Genomic DNA, 13338 nt, shown 5'->3' with positions numbered 1-13338 from the left:
TGGATATTTTGTTGCACCATTTAAATTGTGCCTGAGATTTTTTTGGCTAGCTACAACTAATAACTACTTCATACTGTGAACTCCCTTTCTGAGTGTCTAGCAGCCAAAGACAACAATCTTTGTTCAGAATGACTCCTTCCTAGATAAAGGCTTTTCAATGGGTGAGAGACAAGGAGCTAGCTGTGTAAGCTATAATTTGAAGTACTGGGAATGACCTCTTTAACCATCTTCTTCAGTCTCAACAATTCACATTATGTAAGTCAGCTGATGGTAGAGGATACCAGAGGCACATGGGCAGCAGGATCTACCCCTGTGCAGTGCTGTGGAGTAGAAGGGAAAAGAACTTTCTTGGCTCATTTATTTTTTATGACTGGTTCTTTGGCTGGTTATTCATATATTACCTTTCCCTTTGCCTTCTTGGTGGTAAATGGGAATGAATTTGAAGGTTTTTGTGATAATTACTAAACCATAGAAATGTTTTATGTATTCTTGTTGGTGGTTGATGCTCGTAAGGTTGTTTGGAGCATTTTAGCATAATGGTAGAGGAATCTTGTTTAAAAATGGCCAGATCAAGTTCTAGCCTTTTAACAGTCTTTGATTTGGGGTAAGATATTTAGTCTTAGACTCATTTTCCTTGTATATTAAAGTGAATGAATCAGACCTTATGATCGAGAAAGCCCCTACTAGCTCCCAAATTCTTTTGAGTCAGGGTCTCAATCTCTTGCCTAGGCAGGAGTGCAGTGGTGTTCTCATGGCTCACAGCAACTTTGAATTCCTGGGCTGAAGCGATGCTCCTGTTCAGACTCCCCAAGTGCTGGGATTACAGGCTAAATTCTTATGTTTGCTAAATATTTTTGTCTAGATTTCTTCATGAGAGCTACCCTACTCCTTTCAGTCAAAAGCTGAACACAGATGCTACCAAGACATATAGGATGAGACTAGACCAGTTAATGTGGGTGCTCTGGACTTGGTGGGAGAGACCCGGGTTGTGGAAAAACCAGATCATGTAGGGAGAGAAAAGTAAAAGGAAATAAAATAGAAAGAAACCTTACTGCAGGGGAGGGAGGGGAGTGTAGAAACATGCACCCCAGACCTCTAAGTAGTGTTTCTTAAACGAGTGTGCATCAGAATCACCTGGGAGGCTGGTTAAAACACCAACTACTGGCTCTACCTCCAGAGTTTCAGACTCAGTAGGTCTGGTGTAATACATAAAAATGAGCATTTCTATCAAGTTCCCGGCAACGTTGATGATGCTGGTTGTAGGAAACTCAGAGAACCATTGCTCCCTGTCATTTTCTCATTTTTAGGTATTGCAGTCTGAAAGTGAGCATGTTAGTTATAAAGTAGACTCAAATAGCAGAGGACTGAATGGGTCTTTTTTTTTTTTTAATCTCCTTTGGAGTTGATTCCAGGCTTGGTATTGAAAGAGACTCCCACTTGGGACAGTGGCTATTGTCACTTCCTATTGCTTTTATGTGCTATAGGAAGGTAGACAGCTACTCATTTTCTCTCTGCTGCCATCCTGAGGAAAACAGAAAACAGCATATGCATCCATTTATTTTCTCATTTAACAAATATTTATTAAGTTCTTACTGTGTTGTAATCACTTTTCTAGAAGCTAGGGATCTAGCAGTGAACAAAACCAACAAAAAGCCATCTACTTGTGGAGCTTCTATTCCAGAGAGTGGTGAAAAGAATTCAAGGAATTTCTGTGTCCCAAAGAAGACAATTTAGTGATCAGTTGGATATTTTATTGATCACCTACTCTACACCCATCACCCCGATACACAGCTGACAGTAGGGTGAGACTACCATATGATCCACACCCTCAGGAAGCTTAAGACTACTAGAGTTTGATTTCAGGAGTATTTATGGAAAATGCTTCATTTTTTCACTACGTGATAAGTTATGTGACACTTAAGTTATTTTAAGGCCAGTAGTTCAGAGGTAGGACAACCATCATGTGGGCTGAAGAACTATCATTGGCTTTTGGATTCTGCTCTCCTGTCTATAACAAGCACACCTTGTGCTCACAGTAAAGCCCGTACTACACAGCACCACATGGCCCCAAGGCCTGACCTACTTCCTGCTCAGATAAACTTCTGGACATAGTGCTGCTATGGCCCACACTGTGGGGTGACAAACACTAGGACAAGACTCCCACGCTTCCTCTCGGCACTCCCAGCCCTGCTTTCCAGGGAAACCTGCAGGCTAGCTTCCATTTGTAAATCAAGCACAAGCACTTTGGATTCTGGGGAAATTTCCTATTACAGCTGTGTTTTGTCATTATGCAGCAATATTTAGCATGTTTCTATAAACATAAAAATCTGAGGTAAAATTACAAAAAGGCTAAACTGAAACATACAGAAACAAAAGCAACTTAAAATCAAGACATACTGGGGCTGGCATCAAACTTATAAAAACAATCTAGCACAGAGTAGACGACAACTGCATGTTGAAAGCATGACTACTCAACCAGCCGCCAACCAATCAATACAACTTTACTTTTTGTCAAAAGGAAGCTGAAAAGAGGGCAAGGATTTAAGTTTAAATGTTCTTTCAATGTCTCTGAAGCAAGTCATCAAACCAGTCGGTTTTTTTCAAGTTAAAAAAAAAAAATCTTCGTATCATAAAATAGGCAAATTTGAATGCCCCAATACAATCAACTTGGTGATTATTTAGGGTACCAGTAGGCACTGTCCCAGGTGGTCAGGTAGTTGAGCTAAGGATAGAATGCATTCCTTCTAGTAAAGGCAGTGTGCAGATTAGTTACTAACATGGGCTCTGGAATTCAGATGGAGATTTGGTGACACTCTCAACCTTTCCTCTTAATCTCCCATCATACTGCTTCGAACACAGTACTTTATACAGAACACCAAAGTCCAAGCCATATGTCTGAGAATAAATTTATGTCTTAGGAGCTTTAATATAAGAATATGAGTTTTTTGTTTAGGTCGCTTATTGTGTATATTAAAAAGTGAGTGTCATGTGTGGAAAGGGCATTAGGCTGTGAAACACACATTGGGTCCTTTAGAGGCTCTGACACTATCTGTATGACCTTAAGCAAGTCCATTAACCTTTCTAGGCATCAGTAATTATTCTGTAAAGTTTTACTAAAATAAAATCTAGTTCATATGTTTACGATCCCTTTGAAAGCAGCTAGATTTGGTAACCCTTTGGGATGAGCTTCTCTGTGAGCAGACAGCATCCTCGCTGGAAACCTCCCAGATCCCCCACCATGCTTCCCCTTGCCTCAGTGGCAGGTGTACTAGTATACAACTAGCAAAAGAGGGAGGAACAAAATGGAGAGAGGCCTCTCCAGCTGGTGCCCAGCAAGTTAACCAAAGCTGGCCCACCCAGGGTCTGTCCATGCTCAGGTGTTCTCTAGTAACATCAAAGAAAAGTAGACAAAACAGGACCTTCATTCTTCACAAACTTCCTTTCAGCTGCAAACAGTTTTCTTTCATCTTTTTTTTCCCCCTCCAAGCTACATTTGGTGTGCATTTTCACCTGATTTCGCCTGCATGAAAGTATTATTGGGGAGGTTGGCCCTGTGTGATTTGTCCTGGTCCTGCAACCCCTAGGGGTGGCTTTGCATGTGGGATCAGGATGGTCTGTGTTGGAGGTCTTTTGCTTCTTAAATATTAATGAAATCAGCCCCTTCCAAGAACATCCTCAAATCCCCTGAAGGTTCTTAGATGTTGCAGTTTGCATTTAGCTATTTACATTAGCAAAGATTGTTGTACAAACAGGCTCTGGTGGCCTGTCAGTCAGGGCCCTGCTGGCTTCACTTCACAGAAAGATAAAGAAGTGTGAGTTAAATGAGCCCAGCAGGCATTTAACCTCTGGGTCTGGAAAAATGTTGACTCATTGAGTGATTTGGGAGGTGGGATTATAGACCTATTTGGTTAAAAAGCTTGAAGCTCCTCAAACCAAAGCTAGTAAAAATAGTGATTAGAGCTAACATTGATTAATTACCTGTGCCGACAACTGTGCTAATAATCCCTAGAACAAATTATCATGTATAAGCATTTTATTTCTATTTTATATATGTGGAAACACAGGCACAGGGAAAATATCTTGATCAAAGTCCCAAACCAATAAGCGTTGGTAGGCAGTCTGTTTCCAGATCCTATGTTTTTAACCATTAGTCTACCTGACCCTTTGAAAATGTATTCCTTATAGGTGTACAATTTGGCATAGACACTTTCTGGAACAATTTAATACCTATTAAATTGAAGTAATTAATTCAGGAGTTCCACTTACTGGTGTCTACTTTAGAAAAATGTACCCACTCATTCACCATGAGGCATTGATTGTATCATATTAATAAAAAAAAATCAGTGACCTGAATAAACATTGGTAGGGAGGTAGATGAATAAACAAGAATTTATTCATACTATGGAATAGTACATAGCTATTAAAAATAAAACAACTAATATTATTTACGTAAAAACTGAAAACAATATTGCCTATTTTCTCTGGATCTATATGGGTGTGTAAAGATCTGGAAGAATACATGCAGAGTAATAGCAGTGGTTATTTCTGGGAAAGGGCAGAAGGGAAGGTAACAGAGCTGGTAATCAGAGGGGCTCTGGCCTTATCTGTCAAGTTTTTTTCATGTTTTATTATTCATTTTCATGTTTCACTTACGCAATGAAAAAATAGAAATTGAGAAACAGACATATACATGAATTAATTGATTAGAACTATTTTTCACAAAGGATTTCAGCTCTGGAAAACCACTGAATTGGAATTTGGAATCACAGGATGGTGGGGCTGGAAGGCACCCTAGAGATTTTCTAGTCTAACCCACATGTTTCACCAATGTAAACAGTGAAGCTCGGGGAGATTATGTAGCCTGTCTACAGCTTCACAAAGACTACTCATCTCAGTGAACCTGGGCTGCCAGACTTCTGGCACCCTGGGAGTGCTCACACCCTCACTATGAGCTTGTCAACTAGGGCTCCATCAGCAGGTGAAACCCTACAAAGTGCTCCCTGACAGAGCCAAGGAAAGGTTGGCCCCGGGCTGGGTGGACTTGGGATATGTGCTCTAATAACTCTCAGCATGAAGAACTGCTGAGCCCCTCAAATTAAAAAGCTTGTGGCCAGATTTTTCACAGACTTTATGACAATTCTCCCACATGCAAATTCATCATGAAGGAGAGTGTTTCTATATTTGAAACTACATTTTTCTTGTTTGTTTTGGGTGGCTGGGTGGCTTGGATTTTTGTTTTTAATTCTTCTTTGAGAATAAAGAGAAGGAAAAATCCTACATTGCTTTCAGCTTGTGCAGCCTCCCCAGAGGTGTGAGATATAAACACAGTCTGTTTCCTGTATGGTTTTCCCAAGGGCACTGAAAATGTGATATTTAATTGGCTGTTGCATGTCTTCAGTTCCGGCAGACACATCATGAAACGAGAAAGAGCATCTGTGGCTGAATCATGGTGCGCAAGAGCAGCTCAGGAGAAAAGAGCAGCTTCCATGTGCAGTTCAGACCTCAGATGCTCAGAGAGGGACACACTTATAAGCTTATATTAACCTTAAAAATAAGTATTTAAGAAGTTTGTATGGGGAGGAACCACCCTCTGTTGCCTTTTCTTTCACTTATCTCCCTGAGATCCAGCCCAAGCCTAGGTATCTCAGCATGGTTTTAAGAAAAAAAAAAGAAGAAAGAAAAAGAGACACTTTGGTTGTTTTTATAGGAAGGAATAGTAATAATAGTAACAAACTTACTGAGTGCTTCTATTTAAAACTTTTTTTGGTAGTTGTAATTTTTTGTAATTGAGTTGACTTTTCAGAACAGTTTTAGATTTATGAAAAAATTAAATGAAAAGCATAGAGGGTTCTTATATACAACCCTCCCCCCTCCCAAAGCTCCCCTTATTATTAACATCTTGCATTGATGTGGTATATTTGTTAACAACTGGTGAGCCAATATTTATACATTATTATTAACGATTATAGTTTACATTAGGGTTCACTCAACATTGTACATTCTATGGGTTTTGACAAATGTATAATGACAATGTGTCCACCACTGCAGTACGATAAAGAATAGTTTCACTGCCCTAAAATTTCCCTGTGCTCCACCTATTCATCCCTGCTTCCCTACCTCCTAACCCCTGGAAATCATTGATTTTTCTACTGTCTATATAGTTTTGCCTTTCCTAGAATGTTATATAGTTGGAATCATACATTTATTTTTAAAATCAGGTTTCTTATGGTAAATTAACTCTTTTTAAGTATACAGTTCTGAGTTCTAACAAGAGTATAAAGTAGTATGACCACCACCACCATCACCACAACCAGGATATATAGAGTGCTTCCACCACCCCAAGCAGTTCTCTCATGCATGTCCCTTTGTATGAAGTTCTTCAATAAGCTCTTTCAGTCCTCCCAACAACCCTTTGAGGAAGCTTCTCTCACTCTATCTACTTTAAGGGATCTAGGCACAGAGAGGTTTAGTGATTTTCTCAAGGTCACACAGGACTAAAGTGGCAGAGCCAAGATTTGAACCTTAGTGATCTGGCTCCAGAGTCCATGTTCCAGTGTCCACTTGTAATGGTTTAATGTCCTGCTTGTACACTCCAAAAACAATGACACTGTATTGAGTCACAGAACATATTACCCTAAGGAAGACTTACCTCCCAATTTGCTAGTAAAATACATACACACCCCCTCCCCCACAAAAAATGGAAAGGGCTTTCCTAAGGTCCCAAGGTCATTGATGGGATGGAACTAAAACCCAGGACTCCCGGCTTTAAATACAACCTCAATAGCATGCTTTGCTCATAATAGGTACTTCATAAATGTCTCTTCATTTGACAAGAAGAATATTTAAATTATCAAGAGTAATGATCATAAACAGGGTGATTGTAAACCTGAGAATCTCTAAGATGCTGCAAATGTTCAGCTTTGAGGCTGTGCCAGTATTTGAGACTGCGCCCCTCGTCAGAGTGTGAAGGGGACCTCACATACACTAGAAGATGTAAGGCAGCAGCGTAATACTGATAAATTCTGAGGCCCTCTTAGAGGCTCTGATGCAACAGCAAGAGATACAAAAAAATAGACTATACATGTGAAGCTAGAAAAATCACATAACACTCCCTCACTTGCCATCCTTCCTTACCTTCCACCACCATTGGGAGAAAAAGTCTTATTGTTAACAGCTGAATCCCCTAAGGTGATCTCTAGAACTCCTCACCTGGTGGAATATAGAAAGGCAAAAAGGACCTAAGCTAGTTCCCTCCAGCTCTTTTATAAGGCACTACTCCACTCATGAGGGTGGAGCTTCATGACTTAATCACTTCCCCAAAGGCACCGCCTCTTACTACTACCACAATGGGGGGTAAGTTTCAACATGAATTTTGGAAGGGACACACATTCAAACCATACTAGTATTCATGTCTTACAGGACATTGTCTCTTTTTAAAACATTTTATTTTAAGTTGACAAAAGTGTTTATACTTATCATGTACAACATGGTGTTTTGAAATACATGCTCATTATGGAATGGAAAACATGAGCTAATGTATACATTACCTCACACAGTTATTTTGTGTCATTAGAACACTTAAAATTTACTCTTAGCATTTTTCAAGAATACAATATATTAACTATAGTCACCATGTTGCACAATAGGTCTCTTTAGCTTATTCTTTCTAAGGGAAATTTTGTATCCTTTGATCAACATCTCCAACTTCCCTACCACCCCAGCCTCTGATAACCACCCTTCTACTCTCTGCACTTTCACGTTAATTGCAGTAATAGTCACAAAAGCCAAGATATGGAATCAACCTAAGTGTCCATCAACAGATCAACGGATAAAGAAAAGGTGGTCAGTCTGTCTCTCTCTCTCTTTCTCTCTTTATATTGGAACTCTCTATATATGTACACACACATACGTATATATAAAATTCCATTCTATTAATGACTTTGGTAACCTTAGGAAAGCCACTTCCCTTTTGTGGGGGCATATGTATTTTACTGTTGTAGAACACCAGAGTATCTGCAGGAGGCTTCATGGAGCTTGACTACGTCATAAAAATGAGCAGGATTTAAGTAAGTGGCTGGAACAGTGCCTGGCACATTGAAGGCTCTTAATAAATATTTGTTGAATAAAAAAGGAAAGACATATCTTATGGGATATACATATGTCATATACATATCTATGCCTCAATGTAGGCAGAGGTACAGAGGTGGAACTGAGCATAGTCACCCTGAGGCAGAAGAAACTATATCTTAGACATTGTGACTATAGGAGTACTAGATTGTCATGACCCAGTAGGAAAATGACACTGACTGTGCCAGACCCCACAAGGTATCTTATTTGAGCCTAACAATAACCTCCAGATGTGAATTCTTACTATCTCTATTTCTTACATGCCACTATTTAAGCTTCAAGTGGTAAAAAATTTGCTACAGATCACACACCTAGTGATTAATGAATTAGTAATTCAAACCCTGTTTTGTCAAACTTTAAAACCTTCATTCTTTCTACTGCATTACAGTCTTTCTTAGGGAACTGGTGTGATCAAACCTAGACACCCTCCATCAGTTCTTGAAGGGAAAAAGAAAAGTGGTGTTTTACGAAATTGGTCACAGCTTTACATATTTCAAAAAGGGTAGTAAAGGAAGAGAATGGAAGAAGGAGACTCAGCTAGCAGGCTCAATTGAAAACTGGCAACAATAATAGGAAGAACCGAATATAACTGTCATTTGAAACAAATCAAAGCAACAAGACACAAGAGATGAAGGGAAGGGAGGCAGTAAAGGTTAACCATAAGATTTTGGGGCTGACAAGGTAGAAAAAAAAATAATATTGCCTTGGAAAGAAAAGACAGGCCCAAGAAGTGGAATCATGTGGGTGAGGAGAAGAAAATGACAAGCTTTGTTTGGGATATGATGGTTTGGAAATGATAGTTAGAGACATAAATGGAAATATGCTGCAGACATTTGAAAATGAGTCTAGATAAAGATCAGGCTAAAATATAAAATTGGAAGCTGGCTGTATTGAATAAAGTCATGAGTCCAAAGCAGGAAGTGTAGAACAGAGCCTTGAATCACACCCACAACGGGAAAAAGACAAAGAGAATTCAAGAAAACTACTAAATAGAGAGTAGCTAAAGGATGAAGTTATAGCTACTAAATAGTGGCTAAAGGACAAAGACATGGATGGGTAGATAGATTATAAGCTGTAGAGAGGTAGACACGGAACTTGTCATGAAGAAGAGGTAGTATAGTTTATGGAGAAAGTGATTAACTGTCAAATGACATAAAGACAGTGTATTAGGATACTAGTTTAGCTTCTGTAACTGAGAAATCAAAATGACAGTGTTAGATGGTTCAGGGCTAATATGGTGAGTCCACAATCATCAGTGTCCCAGGCCCCTTCAGCCTTATTGCTCTGCTTCCTTGGCACTGGGCTTCCATCTCATAGTCTAAGGTAATTCCTTCACTTCTTGCATACATTTTTATTCAAGACTGCGGGAAGGAAGAAAAGGAAAATGGGCAGGGCTTGCCTTAAGAGTTGTATGTATCATATCAGTTTAGATCCCATGGCCACACCTAGCTACAAGGGAGTCTAGAAAATGTATATTTCAGCTGGGCAGCTATGTGCCCAGATGAATTTCAACTTCTTACTATATATAATAAAGCATGATATGGAAGGACCACTAACAGTCTTCACTACAGATGGATAAGATAATAATTCAAAAAATATCCCTGAATTTGACAAGCTGTTGGCTACTAAAAAAGCCTATGTAACTCTTCTTCCTGCCTCCAATCTTGCTGTCTTCCAATTCATTGTCCATACTGCAATTAGAAGTAAGTTTCTAAAAAGTGTTACTCCTCTGCTTAAAGCTTTCATTGGCTCCTCAGTGCTTTTAAGATAAAGTTCCAAACTTTAAACATAGCTAAGATCTCATAAGTATAACCCTGCTTACCTTTGAAGACTCACCTCTCTTTACTCTCCTCCCTCACACAGCCTATTACACTCTACATTCCTCCCTCAATTTCTTCAGCTGACTGGAACACCGTGTTTTTTCCCTAGTGCCTCTGAAAATTTGCATCCCCTGTTCCCTCTTCTTGGTATGCTTTTCACCACTTTGCTTGGATTCCTCCTATCGTCCTACAGGCTAGATACCATGTCTACCAGGGTGCTTTCACTGTCCTTCTAGGACTGAGTTTTGTTCATATCTGTGTGTTCCAGAAGCTCCCTGCTTGTCACATGTACCACTTATCCAAATCTGCTTTGCAGTGCTCAGTTTCTCTGTGTTACCCACAAAACTATCAGCTCATTGAGCAAAGAGGTAATCTCAAACCCAAATTTGTACACCAGAGGTTAACCCAGGGCCAGTGAAGAGTATGAGATCCAAAACTATTAGTTCAAAGGAAGAAAGGCATAACTCTAATGAGAAAAAGACCCCAAAGCTATCATTTATTGAAGCAAATGAAAACACTAAATTTCCTGCCCATTCACTGCTGTTTCTTAGGCTCAGGCTCCTCTGCTACATAATGAGGAACTTGTAACTCTGCTGACAAATGGCAAAGAAAATGAATTACTTTGACAAGGAACATTAAAGCATGGCATTCATCTTACGCACTGAAATATCGTTGGATGCCATGGTTCCATGTCTTACAGTTAGTCAGATTGTCTTTGGCAATTCACATTTCAAGGTGGCAGGGGATGGGGGGGTTGGGGGGAATTGTCTATCGTAAAGGAAGCATCCACAACTCACTATTTAGCAGAGCTGTAAAAGCTTATTTGTGCATTACCATGGCAACCACTGGCCCAACACTGCACTGTAGTATACTTGTCTAGACAGCACCAAATTCATCAGCACTTTCTCTTTTGTATGCCTGATTTTAAACAGGCAGGTGTGTATCCAAGGTGCTACTGGGAGAGAAAAAAACTCTCCATGTAGGCAAATGAAAGTGTCAAAAGCATCCTGTGAGCATCTAAATGGCTAGCATTGAAATCTGCACTAATTTGAAAGCTTTAGCATTAGTCTGTGTTTTTCTTTTTAAATAAAACCTTACTAGAAATAAAGAACTAGAAATATATCCATATGGCCTGCCAACTGTGTCTAAAAATAGTTGATGTGAAAGAAAGAACTTACTAACTTTTAAATTTATATCAAACTAAGAATCAAGAATGTTTGATTATATTCTTCTTGTCACCAGTATTTGGACACAATACCAAATTGATACCCAAGACCATAAATCAGACATGTATTAGCTTAGAGTATTTGTACTGTTCTCTTCAATGGAGATATTTGGATAGGACCAAACCTTCAGGACCCACCAGTTGAGTTTTACTGAAGCTCAGGGTCATGCATACCTGAGGCAAGAGCCTTTCCTAGGTCCTGCGTGGTCTTGAATCTTTGGCAATGTTGAAATAACTACACCAAAGATCCTCCAGGAATATTTTGGAACAGAAGAACTAGAAAGAAGACATGTACCATTTCCCTTCAGACTTGATACAACCAGTGGTTTTGGCTAGCTTATGGATATGAATAAAAACTTTGAATTATATTTGTATATAGTTAACTGTGTGTCTTGTATCTGTATATATAATTTATTGTAATTTGCTAGTAAACAGCTGGAGCCATTTGGCCCAGGTCTCACATTCAGAGAAGCCATCAAATTTAGAAATTTGACCTTGTCTCCAAACACAGATATACAGATAGACACAGGCTGACCAGATGGCATTTAACAGATAACTTTAAACTTGGGTCTATTATTGGACCATACTGCTTTGCAGGACACTATGAGTTAGTATAGTTTATAAATCCCACTATGATTGCATGGAGATAATACTTATATCACATTAGTTTGTTAAATGTAATATGTGCTATGGACTGTTTATGTCTTCCCAAAATTCATATGTTGAAACACTAACCCCTAATGTGATGGTATTTGGAAATGAGACCTTGGGGAACTAATTAGGGTTAGATTGGGCCGTGAGGGTTACAGCCCACATAGTAGGATTTATTCCCCTACAAAAAGAAAAAGAGACTCAAGATCTTTCTCTCTGTGCATGCACTAAGGAAAGGCCATGAAAGGATATAACAGGAAGAGGACCCTCACATAGAACCCAACCGTTCGGCAGCTTGATCTTGTACTTCCAGTCTCTAGAACTGTCAGAAATAAACATTTGCTGTTTAAACAACCCAGTCTGTGGTATTTTGTAATAGCAATCCAAACCAAGACAGTGTGTAAAAAAAAAAAAAAGTGTGTCATGTCTTCATTTTAAAATATGTGTCAGTAGCCTCATGGAACTGAAGCAGCTTAGGTCTTTCTCATAGCCCAGCAGTCTCTGGCATCAGTCGTCGCCTTTATTAGTGTTTGGTCCCCTAAGATTTTTTTACTGACTTTATGACATTTAGTAGATGCATAATGAAACGTTAGATTGATCAATACGTGAATGAATGAAAAATGGACATGAATGAAATAAACAAATTTTGGTTTCTAATCAAATTCTCTTAAATTATGTACAAATAGCTATTAAATGTGCCTTAGGCATGGTTAAGCTAGTGAAAGAAATCTGGTAAACAAGGAGCAAATCCAAGAAAAATATAGATTTTGGTATTATCTCATGGAACTGTGAAGCCAGACAGATGCAGAGCATAGTAAAATATCTCTAATTAGGAAAACTCAAAGGAGAAGGTAAATTTGAATTACTGAAAAGTGAGCTACAGAATATTTTTTAAAGAAATAAAGTTTCAGGAGGACCAGCAGTATCCAGGCAGCCCTCCTTGCTACCAAGATGCTCAAGAGAAGGTCAGCTCCACTGGAAGAGCAGTAAAGGAAGAGCCCAAGAGATCAATGAGCTAAGCCTGTTCCTGCAAAAGTAGAAATGAAGCCAAGAAAGGCAGCAGGAAAGGATAAACCTTTAGACAAAAAAAAAAAAAAAAAAAAAAAAAGCAAACAAAAAGGTAAAGGGAGCAAAGGGAAGTGACTAACCAAGAGACCAAATAAAATTTACCTGCAGAAAACAGAGAAACTAAAAATGAGGAGAGTCCAGCCTCTGATGAAGTGAAATGAAAGAAGCCAAGTCTAGTTAATATTATATATCATGGCTTATCAGTGATTCTTGTCTCCCTTCTTATAAATCCAGAGGAATATTTTTATCAACCATTTTGTAAATGCAAGTTTTTTAGTAGTTCTAGAAGCATTTTTAGGAAAGGGAAAATCCCACCTCTTCCCATTTTTTAAGTGTAATTTTTTAAGAGGTAAAATCATTTTCTGTTTTTTATTATTATTATTATTTTTTTGGTGTAACCAGAAAATCGTGGGATATTGACTTACGGGAGACTTTGACTGTCTTGGG

General features: G+C 38.9%; 1 protein-coding gene and 1 pseudogene across 2 annotated transcripts in view; both read left to right on the top strand.

Moving 5' to 3' along the window:
• The window catches only part of NREP (neuronal regeneration related protein), a 248131-nt gene that overhangs the window by 117581 nt on the left and 117212 nt on the right, over window positions 1–13338 (top strand). The gene's annotated exons all lie outside the window — the stretch shown is intronic.
• On the top strand, window positions 12786–13302 carry HMGN1P14 (high mobility group nucleosome binding domain 1 pseudogene 14; annotated as a pseudogene).

Source organism: Homo sapiens, chromosome 5, assembly GCF_000001405.40.
Source record: "Homo sapiens chromosome 5, GRCh38.p14 Primary Assembly".
Classification (NCBI taxonomy): domain Eukaryota; kingdom Metazoa; phylum Chordata; class Mammalia; order Primates; family Hominidae; genus Homo; species Homo sapiens.
Note: the sequence above shows the minus strand (reverse complement) of the source record. Positions and strands in the feature narration are given on the sequence as shown.